At 44.9% G+C, this 18,759-nt stretch overlaps 1 protein-coding gene across 3 annotated transcripts in view, besides 1 other annotated feature; it reads left to right on the top strand.

The window, feature by feature from the left end:
* The window catches only part of WSB2 (WD repeat and SOCS box containing 2), a 29,488-nt gene that overhangs the window by 1,734 nt on the left and 8,995 nt on the right, over positions 1-18,759 (top strand). For 2 of the 3 annotated variants that reach the window (NM_001278557.1, NM_018639.5), the window contains exons 2-4: positions 7,963-8,131; positions 17,064-17,308; positions 17,469-17,600. In NM_001278557.1, the coding sequence (NP_001265486.1) occupies positions 7,963-8,131; positions 17,064-17,308; positions 17,469-17,600 (546 nt within the window). The remainder of the gene's footprint in view (positions 1-7,962; positions 8,132-17,063; positions 17,309-17,468; positions 17,601-18,759) is intronic. The other variant, NM_001278558.2, reaches the window with a different exon arrangement.
* Positions 7,368-8,567: an enhancer, noted in NCBI's record as "MED14-independent group 3 enhancer chr12:118489679-118490878 (GRCh37/hg19 assembly coordinates)". NCBI's record gives its function as "activates an origin of replication core promoter dependent on BRD2, BRD4, P300/CBP and CDK7 cofactors, and independent of MED14, by STARR-seq in HCT116 cells {active_cell/tissue: HCT116}" and the evidence as "EXISTENCE:reporter gene assay evidence [ECO:0000049][PMID:35650434]".

The raw sequence follows: 18,759 nt of genomic DNA, 5'->3' as shown, positions 1-18,759 counted from the left end.
ACTGGAGATTAAGTCAGTGGAGGTGGGGCGGGACTGGAGACGCTGATCCCTGGTGACATGTATGATCAGGCAAATTTAGGATACACTGATGGGTGGGGACCTTGCCTCTATTCTTGTTAACTGCCATCCCCATCAGAAGACAGCGTGGAAGTCAGAGGATATTGGATATACCTCAAGCCAGCCCAGATGAACATAAAATCTCAGTGGGAAAGGTGTGTCTCTTATGCAAGGGGAAAAAAACCCCAAGACGCATGCACGCCTTGGCCCTCTCCCCTCCAACGACCTTCCCTCGGAACCCCACTTGGGATAGATTTAGAATTGATTCCGGGAGTCCCAGGTCTTGAAGGACCCGAGTTTAAATGTAATTTCCTTAGGAGAAATTTTCAGAGCAGGTTCAAGGCCTAGGGCTCAGAATTTGTTCCAGAACTTCATGGTAATCTTGCAGCCAAGTTCAAGCTTCATCCTGGTCTGGAGGGTTCTGATTGCTGATGGCTTGTTACTGTGGGTGGGAAGGTTGAAATCTGGGTATTCCCTGGGGTGGTGTTACTTTTTAATTTAGGAAATGACATTTCTTTGTTTGCTGAAGTCAGGCATTGAGTTAAAGGCAGCTCTCTCTCCTTCCCATCTAGATAAGGGCTTTCTTTTCAGTGAGTGTTACCCGTAGAATTCTTTTTAAAAGGGCCCCTACTGTTTGTGTAGATCCTATGTGAATCTTTTTATAGCTTCCGTTTGATTTCCATTGCCTCCTTACAGTTCAATCTGAAAGCAATCTGTAGCTAGCCTGCCTTTTTAACAGAAATCTGTTTCCAGTTCTGGGGTTTTCCTAAAGATTGACAACTTCGTTTTGAGGGTGTGGGCAGGGTTGTTGAGAGCTGCCAAGTTACTGTACAAAAAAGGCCAGAGTTTTAACTTATTTTCAAATGGAATAAAGCCCATTGTAAAGGAAATACAATGGGCAACAGTTGAAATCTTCAGAGCAATGGTTAGACTTCACTTATTCATTCAGCAAATATTTGTTGAACGTCTACTATGTGCCAGGCACCCTCTAGGCCAGCCCCGACCAACAGAAGTCTAATGTGAGCCACGTATGTAATTTAAAATGTTCAAGTAGCCACATTAAAAAAAAGAAAAAAGAACTAGGTGACAATTTAAAAACTCTTTCAATACAACATGTCTAAAATATTCCTGCTACATGTAATCAAATAAATTGTAATGTAATGTTTTAGATTTTTTTTTGTGCTAAGTGTTCAAAACGTGTTGTGTATTTTTTACTTACAGCCCATCTGAATTCTGACTTGCCACATTTCAAGTGGTTGGTAACCACATGTGATTTCCCTATTAGACAGTGTAGCCCAATAGCAGTGAACTGGCAAGTTTGGGTGGGTTCAGAAAGAGACAGACAATAAATACGTAAAAATGACAGGCAATCAAGAAAATATCAACCAAATGCGCCGGGGTGGCTCACGTCTGTAATCTCAGCACTTTGGGAGGCTGAGGCGGGCAGATCACTTGAGGCCAGGAGTTCGAGACCAGCCTCACCAACATAATGAAACTCCGTCTCTACTAAAAATACAAAATTAACCAGGCGTGGTGGTGCATACCTGTAATCCCAGCTACTCAGGAGGCTGAGGCAGGAGAACCGCTTGAACTGGAGAGGTGGAGGTTGCAGTGAACCAAGATCTCGCCATTGCACTCCAGCCTGGGCAACAAGAGTGAAACTCCATCTCAAAAAAAAAAAAAGAAGAAGAAAATATCTAAGTGATGGTTATAAAGAAAATCAAATGGTTAAAGGAAAGTGAATGGTGCCAGGCGCAGTGGCCCAGCAGTTTGGGAGGCCAACTTGGGTAGATCACTTGAGCTCAGGAGTTTGAGACCAGTCTAGGCAGCATGGCAAAACCCCATCTCTGCAAAAAATACCGAACTATAGGCGCGTGCATGGTAGAATGTGCCTGTAGTCCCAGCTACTGGGGAGGCTGAGATGGGAGGATCATCTGAGCCTGGGGAGGTCGAGGTTGCAGTGAGCCGTGATGGTGCTACTGCATTCCAGCCTGGGCAACAGAGCAAGACCCTGTCTCAAAAAAAATAAAAAATAAAAAAGGAAAGTGTATGGTCGCTTTAGATAGTGAGGCCAGGATGGTCTCTGAGAAGGTGACATGAGGACCAATCCCTGAATGATAAGATGGAGCAACTGAGGAAAGCTTTTGAGGCCGGTGGAATATCTAATGTACATGTCCTGATACAGGAAAAATCACCTAGCTTCCTGCTGGCTGGGGTCATAGCTTTCATCTCTGTGTTAAGGCTAACTGCTTTGCCTAGAAGAGGCTTATAATATATACCTTTCCATTCAGCCTGATTGTCCAAACACATCCCATTGTTTAATTAGAACACCCTGATCCAGGGCCAGGTGCAATGGCTCATGCCTGCAGGAGAATCGCTTGAGCTCAGGAGATCAAAACCAGCTTGGTCAACATAGCCAGACCCCCATCTCTACTAAAAATTTAATTTAAAAAAAAAAAAAATGCTGAGTGTGGTGGTACGCCCCCGTAGCCCGATACACAGGAGGCTGAGGCGGGAGGATCACTTGAATCTGGGTGGGAGATTGAGGCTGCAGTGAGCTGTGATTCAGCCACTGCACCCCAGCCTGGGTCTCAAAAAAAAAAAAAACCCAAATATATATATGAATATGATATACTTGAAATTTGCTAAGAGTAGATTTTAAGTGTTCTCACCACACAAAAATAAGTATGTGAGGTAATGCATATATGGTAATGAGCTTGACTGAGCCATTCCACAATGTATACATATATCAAAACATGTTATATTCCATAATATATACAATTTTTATTTATCAGTTTAAAAAAGAAGAGGCTGGACGCGGTGACTCACGCCTGCAATCCCAGCACTTTGGGAGGCCGAGGTGGGCAGATCACCTGAGGTCAGGAGTTCGAGACCAGCCTGGCCAAAATGGTGAAACCCCATCTCTACTAAAAATACAAAAATTAGCCAGGTGTGGTGGCGCATGCCTGTAATTCTAGCTACTCGGGAGGCTGAGGCAGGAGAATCACTTGAACCCAGGGGGCGGAGGTTGCAATGAGCCGAGATGGCGCCACTGCACTCCAGCCTGGGCAGCAGAGTGAGACTCTGTCTCAAAAAAAAAAGGAGAAAACAAAGAAACCCTGATTCATAGGCCTTTTCACCAAGAAGGATCTACAAGTACCATACCAGTTGAAGCTAGATACCCCACCCCCAGCTCTGTTTTTGTTTGTTTGTTTTGTTTTTAAGTTCTGCACTAATTAGGGCTTTCTCTCCGTGTAGCCAAGTTTAGTTTGGGCCCAGACTCCAAGAGACAGGAGTCACTGGGTTTGTTCTTCTTTTAGCTCCTGGATTCCTGAACCTGAAATAGCAAGAGATTAAATCCCTAAATCACAGAAATAGAGTGTGAATTCTGAGTAGGGCTTGTGTTTAAGAAGCATTTCATGTGAAATGTTTGGCATAAGCATCATCAGAGTTTAAGGGGCTTTATTTATTTTTTATTTTTTGGGGACAGAGTCTTGCTCTGTCACCCAGGCTGGAGTACAGTGGTGCAATCTTGGCTCACTGCAACCTGCACCTCCCGGGTTCAAGTGATTCTCCTGCCTCAGCCTCCCGAGTAGCTGCGACTACAGGCGCCCGCCACTATGCCCGGCTAATTTTTGTATTTTAAGTAGAGACGGGGTTTCACCACGTTGGCCAGGCTGGTCTTGAACTCCTGGCCCCAAGTGACCTGCCTGCCTCGGCCTCCCAAAGTGTTGGGATTACAAGCATGAGCTACCATGCCTGGCCAGCTTTATGTTACTTTTTTGTTTAAAGAGTTATACCATATGTATTTATTAGACAAATATTTACTCACTGCCTGCCCTCCACCAGGAACTCTGCCAGCTCTGGGGATAAATATACAAAGTTCTTGCTCCCTGGAGTTGATATCCTAGTGGAGGGGAGACAGATGGCGATCAAATGGTGATAGAGCTGTAAAGAAAATAAAGTGAGGGGTTGTGAAGGAGATTGACTAGGGGTCAGAAGAGTTCTCTAAGCAGTTGTCATTTGAGCCAGACCTGAATAAGAGTAGATGCCAGCCGAGGAGAGGCATTCCAGGTGAAGGGCATGGTTGGTGCAAAGGCCTAGGGTCAGAACTAATTGAGCATTGGCAGAGGGTAGAGAGAAGGGCAATGTGTTGGAGCCAGGGGCAGGGAGAGAAGTACAAGCCCAGGGAAGTTCAGATTATGCTGGATTTTGAGGGCAGGGTGAGGAGCTAGAGTTTTATTCTAACAGTGTTTGAAACTGACCACTCTGGAGGCAAGGAGAACCGATGGTGCGGGGCTAGAGGGGAAGCCGGGAGAGCAGCTGGAAGGTTGCCTACTGGGCCAGGCGGGAGATGATGCTGCATAGATGAGAGTAGAGATGGAGAGGGGTTAGATTTGGCAAGTCTTTTGTAAACAGACTTGATAGAACTTGCTAATGGATTTGGTTTGGGAGATTTAAAAAAAAAAAAACAGACGTGGTGGTTTACACCTGTAATCCCAGCACTTTGGGAGTCCGAGGTGGGCGGATTGCTTCAGTCTAGGAGTTTGAGACCAGCCTGGCCAAGATAGCAAAAACCTGTCTCTACTAAAAATACAAAAATTAGCTGGGTGTGGTGGTGCACGCCTGTAATCCCAGCTTCTTGGAAGGCTGAGGCATAAGAATTTCTTGAACCCAGGAGGCCGAGGTTGCAGTGAGCCGAGATTGTGCCATTGCAGTCCAGCCTGGGTGACAGAGTGAGACTCCATCTCAAAAAAAAAAAAAAAAAAAAAAAAAGGATAATGTAGAGGAAGTGAACCAATTGTGAATGTTATCAGGATGGAAAAAAAAAAGACATTTTCATCCTGGTCATTTGATCCGGAATTCCTGGTCTCAAGCAATTCTTCCACCTCTGCCTCCCAGAGCACTGGGATTACAGGCATGAGCCACTACCCCAGGCCATCCAGGTCATTTGAAAATGTTTCTCTAGATCAGTCAATGTCATTTAATACTTGACTGCATCTGGGTTTCTCAGCCTTGGCATTGTTGACATTTTGGGCCAGATGATTCTTTGCTGGGGGCTGTCCTGTGCGCTGTAGAGTGTTGAGCAGCATCCCTGGCCTCCACCCACTAGATGGCAGTAGTAGCAACTCCAGTTGTGACAACCAAAAATGTTACTGCCAAATGTCCTTAAGGGGCAAACTAGCCCCCAGTTGAGAACCCTGGGTCTATAGAAATAGCTATACACATGTGATTGTATAAATGAAACTGTCACACATACAAACATACAGATTTCTAGGAGGATTTACCTGGGTCTATACAAATAGCTATTTACTCAGACCATATATATAAAAATATATTTCTTTCTTTTTTCTTTTTTTTTTTTTTTAAAGAGATGGAGTCTTACCATGTTGACCAGGCTGGTCTTGAACTCCTGGCCTCAAGCTATCATCCCATCTCGGCCTACCAAAGTGCTAGGATTATAGGCGTGAGCCACCGTGCCTGGCCTAGACCTAATACATTAAACCCAAATTTACACATAGAACCTCTGAGAATGAATAGTCTCTTTACAAAGGCTTGATATGATTTATTAACATTCTATTTAAAGACAGAAACTTCAGGAACACACACCTATTTTATATAACAAGATATACCTATGTTATTATTTTCCTATAAATGCATATACTAGAATTATTATTATTATTATTATTATTATTATTATTTTTTGAGACAGAGTTTCACTCTTGTTGCCCAGGCTGGAGTGCAATGACACCATCTCAGCTCACCGCAACCTCTGCCTTCCGCCTCCCGGGTTCAAGCGATTCTCCTGCCTCAGCCCTCTGAGTAGCTGGGATTACAGGCATGCGCCACCAAGCCCGGCTTATTTTGTATTTTTAGTAGAGATGGGGTTTCTCCATGTTGGTCAGGCTGGTCTCGAACTCCCGACCTCAGGTGATCTGCCCGCCTTGGCCTCACAAAGTGCTGGGATTACAGGCATGAGCCAATTTTTTTTTGAGACAGAGTCTCGCTCTGTCACCCAGGCTGGAGTGCAGTGGCACGATCTCGGCTCACTGTAACCTCCGCCTCCTGGGTTCAAGTGCTTCTCCTGCTTCAGCTTCCCGAGTAGCTGGGACTGCAGGTGCCCGCCACCATGTCTGGCTAATTTTTTTTTTTTTTTTTTTTTTTTGGATTTTTAGTAGAGACATGGTTTCACCATGTTTGCCAGGCTGGTCTTAAACTCCTGTCCTCAAGTGATCTGCCTGCCTTGGCCTCCCAAAGTGCTGGGATTACAGATGTGAGCCACTGCACCTGGCAAAAATATTTTATAAATATACACATATGCATCTCTACCATCTGTTTTATTGAATCCAAGATACCATGGATTGTATTATCATCATGTATAACTGAGAAAAAAATACTACCTATTTAACTATGAAAAGTCATTGATTATAAGATACATCCTGATTTCAGCGAGGTCAAAATGTAAGATATATAAAGATGTGTCTTAAAATATATGAAATACGGGTTTTAAAAATGAATATCTATCTGGTAACAGCCAGGGTCAAAGTCTTCCACATTCCACATTCCTTGTGTGGAATGGACACATCAGGAAGTGACCTTATTCAGGATGGAAGCCAGTTTTTATATTAGTAAGTATCACAGTCATAATGGTCAAAAAATTCATTCTGAAGGCCTTTAACTTATAAGCTTCATCAGCCATGAGAATCTTCCATCAGAGTAGAGAACTGAACTAGGAACTGTGGGTCAGTCAATGAAGAAGCTCCAATCTGGTGCCTACTCTTTCACAAGATGGTGTGCTAGGTCCTGGGAGAAACAAAGACAAAATGATCTGGGTGTTGGAACAAGGTGCTTAGACACTGATGACGAGGGCGGGGGGCAGAGAGAAATTGGTTACATAAGAGAGAATGAAATAAACAAGGTGCGACTTATTTCCGTTTTGATAGTGTGAGATCAGGGTACGCTTCTTAGTTGTGAATCTAGGTGGGATTATTACTTTTTTCTTTCTTTCTTGTTACTTTGAGAAGCTAGGGATTCTCATAAGCAAAAGTGGGTCCAGGTGTGAACGTAAATAAGCCCCTTGCATGTCAAGGAGATTTTGTGGCCAGAGTGTGGCCTGCAGGGAGGGGACAAGGGAAGGAGGTTGGACCGATGGGCTGGGGCAGATGGCATGTGGTGAAAGTCCTGGTCTCAGTTGCCTTTATGATGTAGGCAGGCGGGAGCTTTCTAATGTATTTGAAAGAAATGATGTGATGTGTGGGTATTTCAGCTTTAGCAGCATCTCTAGGGGTAGGAAGACTGATCAGGAGACTGTAGCAAAAGATCTGGGTGAGATGAGATGAAGGTTTAACCCCAGACAGAGGACGTGGAAGCGGGAGAGATGGGGAGATGGAATCCATACTTCTGAGTGTGAGGAAGCAGGGCAAGGGCTGAACGTTTTTAGCCTTGATGATGGGGAGGATGCAGGCGAGTGAGAGGGAGCCTTTGAGTTTCACATATTCCTTCTTTGACAGCAGCAGGTTCTTCTGAAGAAACCTGAAATGCATTGGAAGGCCTTGCTATTTTGGCCCCATAATCAGCACCGTCTAGCATATTCCTGGTCTGGCTGTCTCTCCACTTTCCTCCCCTTCAAGTATTCATAGGAAAATGAGGCCTCCATTCACTGGGTTCATGGGCACAAAGGTTACTGTGAGTCATGGTTAACCAGCAGTGAGGAGTGCCAGGATTGAGTAACCGTGGTGGAATGTGGCCTGTGGCTGCTGTTATTGCCCTGGGTCATTTAAGTGACAACTCCCTCTGGGAATGGATAGTGTGGCTCTTTGCCACAGGGAGACAGTGGCTTTCCTGTGTCTGGGTGGTCAGGGAGCAAGGGGGTGTGTGTTTGAAGCATGTTGTCTCCTGCCCCAGAGGAACCGCTGCTGCTGGCCGAACTCAAGCCCGGGCGCCCCCACCAGTTTGATTGGAAGTCCAGCTGTGAAACCTGGAGCGTCGCCTTCTCCCCAGATGGCTCCTGGTTTGCTTGGTCTCAAGGACACTGCATCGTCAAACTGATCCCCTGGCCGTTGGAGGAGCAGTTGTAAGTATTCTCGTACTGGGGCCCCATCCGGCGCATTTCCAAACACTCCTTGTTCTTTTGCCATCTCTGTGCCCAAGAACCAGAGAGAGGGAAGGTGGCTCATGGTTCAGGAATTGATCATGGGGGTTTCCAGAGCCCCAAGTTCTGTATATGTGAAAGTCAATTCTGTCAAGATTATGTTAGCCCCAAGTTGGCTTTTTTTCCCATAGCTTTATTGAGATGTAATTTATATACCACACAGTTTGTCCATTTAAGTATACAATACAGTGGCTTTTAGTCTATCCACAGAGTTGTGCATCCATCACCATCATCAGTCTTACTTTATTTATTTATTTTTTGAGACAGTCTCCCTCTGTCTCCTAGGCTGGAGTGCAATGGCGCAATCTTGGCTCACTACAACCTCTGCCTCCTGGGTTCAAGCGATTCTCCTGCCTCAGCCTCCTGAGTAGCTGGGATTACAGGCACACACCACCACGCCTGGCTAAGTTTTGTATTATTAGTAGAGACGAGGTTTCGCCATGTTGGCCAGGCTGGTCTCAAACTCCTGACCTCAAGTGATTCACCCACCTCGGCCTCCCGAAGTGCTGGGATTACACATTTCTCCCATGAGCCACTGTGCCTGGCACATAATCAATTTTAGAATATCTTTATTTCCTCAGAAAGAAACCCTGTACCCCTTAATTTAGATCCCCCAACCCCCCTGCACTCTCCAGGCAACCACTAATCTACTTTGTCTCTCTAGATTGGCCTATTCTAGACATTTCCTATTAATGGAGTCATACAACACGTAGCCTTTTTTGACTAGCTCCTTTCATTTTACATAATGTTTTCACAGTTCATCCGTATTCTAGCATATACTAGTATTTCATTTCCTTTTATTGCATCATATGGAGATGCCAAATTTTGTTCGTACATTTATCAGTTGATGGACATTGGGTTGTTTTCATGTTTTGGTTATTACAAATAGTGCTGCTATGAACATTTATAGAAAACCTGTGTTTTCTATGTTTAACTATTTGAGGAGGTGTCAGACTGTTTTCCAGAGTGGCTGCACCATTTTACTTTCCCACCAGCAGTGGATTCAGGTTCCAGATTCTCTACATCCAGCCGTTGTTATTGTCTGTCTTTTTTTATTATCCTAGCAGGCAGCCATCCTAGTGGTATGAAGTGGCATTTCATAGTGGTTTCGATTTGCATTTCCTTGATGGCTATGGATGTCAAGCGTCTTTTCTTTCTTTCTTTTTTTTTTTCTTTTTTTGAGACAGAGTCTCACTCTGTTGTTCAGGCTGGAGTACAGTGGCATGATCTCAGCTTATTGCAACCTCCACCTCCTGGGTTCAAGCAATTCTCCTGCCTCAGCCTCCCAAGTAGCTGGGACTACAGGCACATACCACCACGCCTAGATAATTTTTGTATTTTTAGTAGAGACGAGATTTCACTATGTTGGCCAGGCTGGTCTCAAACTCCTGACCTCAGGTGATCCACCTGCCTTGGCCTCCCAAAGTGTTGGGATTACAGGTGTGAGCCACCACACCTGGCCGAGCATCTTTTCAGGTGCTTACTGGTCCTTTGTATACGTTCTTTGGATAAATGTCTACTCAGAGCCTTTGCTCGTTTTTGTCTTTTTATTATCAACCAAGTTTATTTTATTCATTTATTTTTTTTGAGAGAGAGAGAGGGTCTTGCTCTGTTGTCCAGGCTTGAGTGCAGTAGCTCAGTCACGGCTCACTGCAGCCTCAACCTGCTGGTCTCAAGCTATCCTCCTGCCCTAGCCTCCCAAGTACCTGATACTACAGGCGCGCCACCATGCCCAGCCAACTTTTAAATTTTTTGTAGAGACAGGGTCTTGCCTAGGCTGGTCTTGAACTCCTGGCCTCAAGAAATCCTCCCGCCTCAGCCTCCCAAGTAGCTGGGATTACAGGTGTGAGCCATGGCGCTTGGCCAAGTTTAGTTTCTAATACCAGTTTTTCTTTCTTTGGGATGGACAAGCCCCAGTGTCAGAATGCCGTGAGCTCCCATTCAGATGGCCCAGCATCTGTATGTTTTCATTTGTCCCAGGGCAACTCTATGTCTGTATTTATTCATTCAGCCAGCCTTGGTTGCGTAGTTTCTTTTTTTTTCTTTTGAGATGGAGTCTCGCTCTGTCGCCCGGGCTGGAGTGCGATGGTGCGATCTCGGCTCACTGCAACCTCCACTTCCCTCCTGCCTCAGCCTCCTGAGTAGCTGGGATTACAGGCATGCGCCACCACCCCTAGCTAATTTTTTTGTATTTTTAGTAGAGATGGGGTTTTACTATGTTGGCCAGCCTTGGTTACATAGTTTCTTTGCGTAACACTGAGTTAGGGACTGAGAGTCGTTAGATAAATCAGACATGGCCCTTGCCCTTGAGGCTTTCATTTATTTTTCTTTAAGCATTTTTTATAAATAACATTAGATTTAAGGTTTTTATAAGTTGGATATGAAACTTGCCTTGATAAGAGGGAATGTTGACAGGAGTTTGTTGAGATGGGTACTCTGCATGCTGCTAGAGTTGAGGGGGATAAATTTGTGCAGTTTTTGGAAGGAAGCCTGGCAAAATGCATCAAGGACCTGAAAAATGTTCTTCTGGGCTGGGCGCGGTACCTGATGCCTGTAATCCCAGCACTTTGGGAGGCCGAGGCAGGCAGATCACTTGAGGTCAGGAGTTTGAGACTAGTCTGGCCAACATGGTGAAACCCTGTCTCTATTAAAAATACAAAAAGTTAGCCAGGTGTGGTGGTGTGCACCTGTAATCCCAGCTACTCAGGAGGCTGAGGTAGGAGAATCGCGTGAACCTGGGAGGCGGAGGTTGCAGTGAGCTGAGATCGCGCCACTGCACTCCAGCCTGGGTAACAGAGCGAGATTCCATCTCAAAAAAAAAAAAATCTCAGAAATGGTGTCATCTATTTATATACACTGATCTTCATCATGAAATTAGTTGCATGTTAAGAAAATTGGAAACAGTTTGAAATCCAGGGATGAGAGGATGGTTACGAAAATTTTACCATTTCCATATGATATTTTTGCAGCCATCAAATTTTGTTATGTGTTTTTAATCAGAGTTTTCAGTTTCTTCTGTGGTCAGTTTAATGATAATGCCAAGGTCATACATTGTTTACTAATTCCCTACCTGAAATACAAGGGATGCACCTTCATTTCTAGACTTGACATGTAAGTAAATTTACTATATGAATTATAAATTCTATAGTCTGCTCTTTTTAAAAAGCACAACATGGAAGATCTGTCAGTTTCCTGAAAATCACTCTTGTTTTCAAATTTGTATAGATAAATATGTCTTTTTTCTGTCACATGACCTAGAGCTGCTCCCGGGTAGAAGGAAGGGCCTGGGCTTGCATCTCCCTAAGGGCACTGTGGGTGGCTCAGGGTCTAGTGTGGAGCATGTGTCGGTTGGGGAAAGCTCCTTTACTTTAATTACTGGTATCAGTAAATGAAAACAATAACAATTTTTTTTTCTGAATCCTATTTCTGAACAAACCATAAATTTAAATCCTATTTCTGAACAAAACATAAATTTGTATAGATGAATATATCTTTTCACTATTAGCTAAGGAAAATGAAAAAAGGTATTTGAGTATTAACCATTTTTTTTCATATTTATTATTTAACATAATGAGCAAAGTGTTATTGTTTCATATGTTAAGTGAGAAGTTACTGGTTTTGGAGAAAAATCACATTTTTTTTTTTTTTTGAGAGAGTCTTGCTCTGTCATCCAGGCCAGAGTGTAGTGGCGCATCTCGGCTCACTTTAACCTCTGCCTCCTGGATTCAAGTGGTCCTCCTGCTTCAGCCTCCTAACTGGGATTACAGGCGTGTGCCACCACACTCAGCTAATTTTTTTGTATTTTTAGAAGAGACAAGTTTTCACCATGTTGCCCAGGCCAGTCTTTGACTCCTGGCCTCAAGGGATCTACCTGCCTTGGCCTCCCAAAGTGCTGGGATTACAGGCGTGAGCCATTGCACCTGGCAAAATCACATATTTTGAAGAACAGTATTCTGAGGAAATGTTTGCAGTATGAGGCTTATTGAAAAAAAACAGGCTATATGGCCGGGTGCGGTGGCTCACGCCTGTAATCCCAGCACATTGGGAGGCAGAAGTGGGAGGATCACTTGAGGCTAGGAGTTCTAGATCAGCATGGGCAACGTAACAAGACTTGGTTTCTACAAAAAAGTTTTAAAAATTAGCCTGGCGTGGTGGCAGGTGCATGTGGTCCTAGCTACTCAGGAGGCTGAGATGGGAGGATCACCTGCACCCAGGAATTAGAGGCTGCAGTGAGCTCTGATCATACCAGGCCACTCCAGCCTGGGCAACAGTAAGACACTGTCTCTTAAAAAAACAAAAAAAAGCAGTTTGTAAAACCATGTATGCAGTATGATATCAGATTTGTTTTTAAAAGACATTTGTGTATATACACAAAAATTTATAGTGAGACGTTTAGAATGGTGGTGTTAGGATTATAGGTAATTTTTACTTTGTCTCATTTTCACATTTCTCCCATGTTTCGCTACTATTTTTATTTATTATTTTTATAATTTAAAATAATCGGGCTTTTTGGGGGGCAGAGAAAAGGTCTTGCTCTGTCACCCAGGCTGGAGTACAGTGGCATGATCATAGCTCACTGCAGCCTTGAACTCCTTGTCTCAAGTGATCCTCCCACCTCAGCTTCCTAAAGGCGTAGCCGCCACACCCTGCCAACAATAGCTATTTTAAAAGTATTTTAAAAGAGAGAATTTGGGGCATTTATATTCTAGTTAGGGTAGTTATACATTTTTTAAAAATCATGTAGTGCTTTTGATATTGAGCAAATAATTGATATTAACCAAATAATTATACTGCTTTTTGAAATAAAGTTTTTAGAAACTTTAACTTCAGTGAAGCTAAATTCTGCCAATGAATCTGTCTTGCCTCATCAGCTCTTTCCCACGGTACGACCTCCCTGCTTTTCACGTAACTCATCCCTTGATTCATTAGCAAACTCAAAGTATTTGTTGAGCATTAGGCCAGGATACCTAAGACCTTAGTTCCAGTTCTGCCCCTGATTTTGTGACCCCAGGAAAGTTAATAACCCATAAAATGGAGATTTTAGTATCTCTTTCTAGAAAAATTAAATTTAGGATATTAAAATGAAATAATAAATATGCCTTAATTCTTTTGGAATAAAGTAGCTACAGGTGTATTCCTTAATTCAAATACAGAAATTAGGGCCAGGTTTGGTGTCACACGCCTGTAATCTCAGCACTTTGGGAGGCTGAGGTGGGGTGGATTGCTTGAGGCCAGGATTTAGTGACTAACCTGGGCAGCATAGTGAGACCCTGTCTCTGCAAAAATTAAAAAATTAGCTGGGTATGGTGGCATGCGCCTGTAGTCCCAGCTACTCAGGAGGCTGAGATGGAAGGACTGCTCGAGCCCTGGAGTTCAAGGCTGCTGTAAGCTATGGTCACACCACTGCACTGCAGCCTGGGTGCCAGAGAGAGACCCTGTCTTTAAAAAAAACCAAAATAAATAAAACAAATACAGAAATCAGGATTTTATAACAAATAAAACAAATTTAACTGGTGGTTCCAAGCTGTCTTAAACCTCTTCCCATAGCCTGCCTCTTAAGTGCTGCTTCTCGTGACAACAAACTCAGGGGCCAGTGCCAGGGCCAGAGCCAGGCAGGTCTGGACAGTCTGTGGAGAGGCAGCCGATCGAAGTGACATTCATGGTCACATTCAGATTGTTTGGCCAGAATAACAAGTTTTAGCCTATATTTGGCGATTTAGACCCAGAGGTTGACAAATTTTTTCTTTCTTTTTTTTTTTTTTTTTGAGATGGAGTCTTGCTCTGTCATCCAGGCTGGAGTGCAGGCAGTGGTGCAACCTCGGTTCACTGCAACCTCTGCCTCCTGGGCTCAAGTGATTCTCCTGCTTCAGCCTCCCGAGTAGCTGGGACTATAGGCACCCCCCACCAGGCCTGGCTAGTTTTTTTGTATTTTTAGTAGAGATGGGGTATCACCATGTTGGCCAGGCTGGTCTCAAACTCCCGACCTCAAGTGATCCGCCCGCCTCAGCCTCCCAAAGTGCTGGGATTACAGGCGTGAGCCATGGTACCTGGCCAACTTTTTCTATAAATAGTTTAGGCTTTGTGGGCCATAAGGTCCCTGTCTTGACTGTTGAACTCCGCTGTCACAGTGTGAAAGCAGCCTCAGACAATACCTAACCAAATGCCTGTGGCTGCGTTCCAATAAAACTTTATTGACAAGAACAAAATCCTGTCATTTGCTACAACATGGATGAACCTGAGGGACTTTATCCTAAGTGAAATGCACTAGGCACAGAGAGACAAATACTGCATGATCTCACTTACATGTAGAATCTAAAAATATCTAACTCATAGAAACAGAGAGTAGAATGGTGGTTACCGGGGGTGGGAGAGGGAGTGGGGAGATATTGATCAAAGGTATAAAGTTTCAGCTAAGCAGGGTAAGTTCAGAAGATCTATTGTATGGCATGATGACTGTGGTTATTAATAATGTACACTTGACAATTGCTAAGAGTGTAGACCTTTTTTTTTTTTTTTTCTTTGAGACAGTGTCTGACTCTGTCACCCAGGCTGGAGTGCAGTGGTGTGATCTTGGCTCAGTGCAACCTCCGCCTCCTGGCTCAAGCAATCCTCCCACATCAGCCTCCTGAGTAGCTGGGATTACAGGCATGCGCCACCAGGTCCCTGCCACCACGTCCAGCTAATTTTTGTATTTTTAGTAGAGATGGGGTTTCACCATATTGGTCAGGCTGGTCTCGAACTCCTGACCTCAGGTGATCCACCCACCTCAGCCTCCCAAATTGCTGGAATTACAGGTGTGAGCCACCGTGCCCGGCCCCTCCCTTCTAATTTTGTAAATGAGCTTGGTTAAAATTCTTTTTTTTTTTTGAGATGGAGTCTTGCTCTGTTGCCCAGGCTGGAGTGCAGTGGTGCGATCTCAGCTCACTGCAAGCTCCGCCTCCCGGGTTCACGCCATTCTCCTGCCTCAGCCTCTCCGAGTAGCTGGGACTACAGGCACCCGCCACCACGCCCGGCTAATTTTTTGTATTTTTAGTAGAGAAGGGGTTTCACCGTGGTCTCGATCTCCTGACCTCGTGATCTGCCCACCTTGGCCTCCCAAAGTGCTGGGATTACAAGCATGAGCCACCGCACCCGGCCAGTTAAAATTCTTTTGTGTATTTCACCACACAATTGACAAAAATGTGATTTACTTAGAATTTTTCAGGAACATCTATAATATTGGGTTGGTGCAAAAGTAATGGTGGTAATTGCAAATACTGCAATTATTTTCGCACCAATTAATACATAAAGATGTTCAACTACGTATGCATTGAGTTTAGGATTTCTCATGGAATCAAATCTGACCTCATCCTGGCGTTCAGCTTTCTCATCTCCATTTCCGCCAGTTTAACCAACCAGAGTGTGGTCAGGGTCACATGGAGACCTTTGTGCTGTGTACCGCAAACAGTAAGCTTCATGTTTTCAGGCTCAACCCCAGGGCCGGCCAAGTGCTTGTGCATTTGAGACATTGTTTCCTGGGCGCAGTGGTGGCCAGGGCCTCATGTTTTAGCTTATCTGGGCCTGTTTCACTGTAAGTTGAATTGTAGGAGAGGGTGGGATTAAGAGATCTTCCAGGACAGGATACCTCTACACAGCCCTGTGAATTCGTTTTCTCTCTTGACTACCTTGCTGTTTGATCCTTGTGCGGGTTACCATCAGTTAGGAAGTAAATGAAGGAGCCTCATTAATCAGTTGCAACATCGTGAGTGAAGGTGGAAATTAACATGTACCAAACAAACGGTGTTGGCAAGATGAGTTTATTTTCCAACTCCTTGGGGATTTCTAAGCTAGTGATAAGGGAACTCATCAGGCAGGAGAGTGGTGGATATTCAGCCTCTAAGTTCTGCCCTAGTTCCAAACCTGCAGTATGCTTTCTTACTCATGGGAAAAACTGAGTGTCTTTTTCCTTCCACTCATCAAAACCTGAGAGAACTTTCTGAGCAAGCATGTGACTCCCTGGAGCATCTGTTATTTAGTTATCCCACAAGGCAGGTCACCCCATTGCAGGGCTGTTGCAAATAGATTGAGCCATGGCCAGTATAGCCTGTGTTAACATCAACTCTTTTTTTTTTTGAGATAGAGTTTTGCCTTCGTTCCCCAGGCTGGAGTGCAATGGTGCGGTCTTGGTTCACTGCAACCTCCACCCACTGGGTTCAAGCGATTCTCCTGCCTCAGCCTCCTAAGTAGCTGGGGTTACAGGCACCCGCCACTACGCCCGGCGAATTGTTTTTTTTTTTTAGTAGAGATGGGGTTTCACCATGTTGGCCAGGCTGGTCTCGAATTCTAGACCTCAGGCGATCCACCTGCCTTAGCCTCCCAAAGTGCTGGGATTACGGGCATGAGCCACCACGCCTGGCCTACATCAACTCTTAAAAAGAAACAAAAAGAAAAGTCACAGCAGATTTCACCGAAGGCCAGCTTGTTTCTAGGATTTAAAGTCTTATGTGGCCGGGTGGGGTGGCTTATGCCAGTAATCCCAGCACTTTGGGAGGGCAAGGTGGGCAGATCACTTGAGCTCAGGAGTTTGAGACCAGCCTGGGCAACATGACAAAACTCCGTCCTACAAAAAATACAAACAAAGTTAACAGAGCCTAATGGCACATGCCTGTCGTCCTAGCTACTTGGTGGATCTGAGGCAGGAGGATCAGTTGAACAGGGAGGTCGAGGCTGCAGTGAGCCATGATTGTGTCACTGTACGCCAGCTTGGGTGACAGACCCTTCCCTCCACTCCCCAAAAGTCTTACGTGTCCCAGGATGAAAAGTTGATAGACTGGTAACAATTGCAGATTCATTAAGAAATCTCTGCTTCTCCCAGCATCCCTAAAGGGTTTGAAGCCAAAAGCCGAAGTAGCAAAAATGAGACGAAAGGGCGGGGCAGCCCAAAAGAGAAGACGCTGGACTGTGGTCAGATTGTCTGGGGGCTGGCCTTCAGCCCGTGGCCTTCCCCACCCAGCAGGAAGCTCTGGGCACGCCACCACCCCCAAGTGCCCGATGTCTCTTGCCTGGTTCTTGCTACGGGACTCAACGATGGGCAGATCAAGATCTGGGAGGTGCAGACAGGTAGGTCATTCCTGGCTGGCACAAGGTTCTGGGAGGCTCGGGTGCATGTTCTGACTATGTCGCCTCCCTGCCCCACTCACGTTGGCCAAGGGGTGTGGCCGTGGCAGGCACACCTCGTGCCCCCTCTCTGGCTGACTCAGTGCCCCTGCTCCCATGCCAGGGCTCCTGCTTTTGAATCTTTCCGGCCACCAAGATGTCGTGAGAGATCTGAGCTTCACACCCAGTGGCAGTTTGATTTTGGTCTCCGCGTCACGGGATAAGACTCTTCGCATCTGGGACCTGAATAAACACGGTATGGGAAGTGAAGGAACTACTCGGCAACTCCAAAAATACTGTATTTGCTTTCTCCACTTTACCAGTGTCATTTTTATCTAAAACAGTGTTTCTTGATGTTTTTTTCTGTGATTGCCCCTTAAGGAGCCTTTTAGACAGTTTTTTCCTAATCGCCCCTGCCCGCCCCAAAGATAATACTATACCAAATAGAGTTTAATACCGAACATATACTGTGTGTCTATTTAGGCTATTTTAATATCGAAGATATATTGTATATCTACTTATGTGCTGAATGCATGTCTATGCTTTGTATGTAAAAAAATGTTAAGATTTTTTTGGCTACCAAGAACTAGTTTGTACCCTCTTGGGGTGAATTGCCCCTGTTAAAAATATTTGATCTAGAACAGGTTTTCTCATCGGCACTATGGATATTTTGGGCTGGATAACCCTTTGTCGTGGGCTCTCCTGTGCATTCTAAGACACTGAGCAGCGTGCCTGGTCTCTTCTCTTTTGATGCCAGTAGCATCCTCTCCAGTTGTGACAAGCAAAAAAGTCCCCATGTCCTGTGAAGGGCAAGGTCTCCCCAGGTTGAGAACCACTGATCTAGAAGTCCCTGTTGGGTGCTTCCTGTTAGAAAGAAAGACTTTCTTTTTGAAGCAGACTCTAAGCCTAGAATAATTCTCTCAGGCTATGGGGCATCAGGTTTTGTGAAATTCTGCCTCGAGCAAACTATATACAGGGGTGGCCCAATAAGGAATTCCATACATTTCTGGATTGATCCTTAACTAGAAAGGTGATATAAGAGGCCAGGCACAGTGGCTCACGCCTGTAATCCCAGTACTTTGGGAGGCTGAGGCGGGTGGATCACCTGAGGTCAGGAGTTCAAGACCAGCCTGGCCAACATGGCCAAACCCCATCTCTACTAAAAAATACAAAAATGAGCTGGGCGTGGTGGTGGGCGCCTGTAGTCCCAGCTACTCGGGAGGCTGAGGCAGGAGAATCACTTGAACCTGGGAGGCAGAAGTTGCAGTGAGCTGAGATCGCATCACTGCACTCCAGCCTGGGCAACAGAGCAAGACTCTGTCTCAAAAAAAAAAAAAAAAAAAAAAAAGTGACATAAGAGAGGGGAATTTATTGCAATGCCATCTTTCAATTCCTCCAGCCCTGGATGGGGCTCA

This window comes from Homo sapiens, chromosome 12, assembly GCF_000001405.40.
Source record: "Homo sapiens chromosome 12, GRCh38.p14 Primary Assembly".
NCBI lineage: Eukaryota > Metazoa > Chordata > Mammalia > Primates > Hominidae > Homo > Homo sapiens.
The sequence above is the reverse complement of the archived record's forward strand: the minus strand, read 5'-3'. Positions and strand labels throughout refer to the sequence as shown.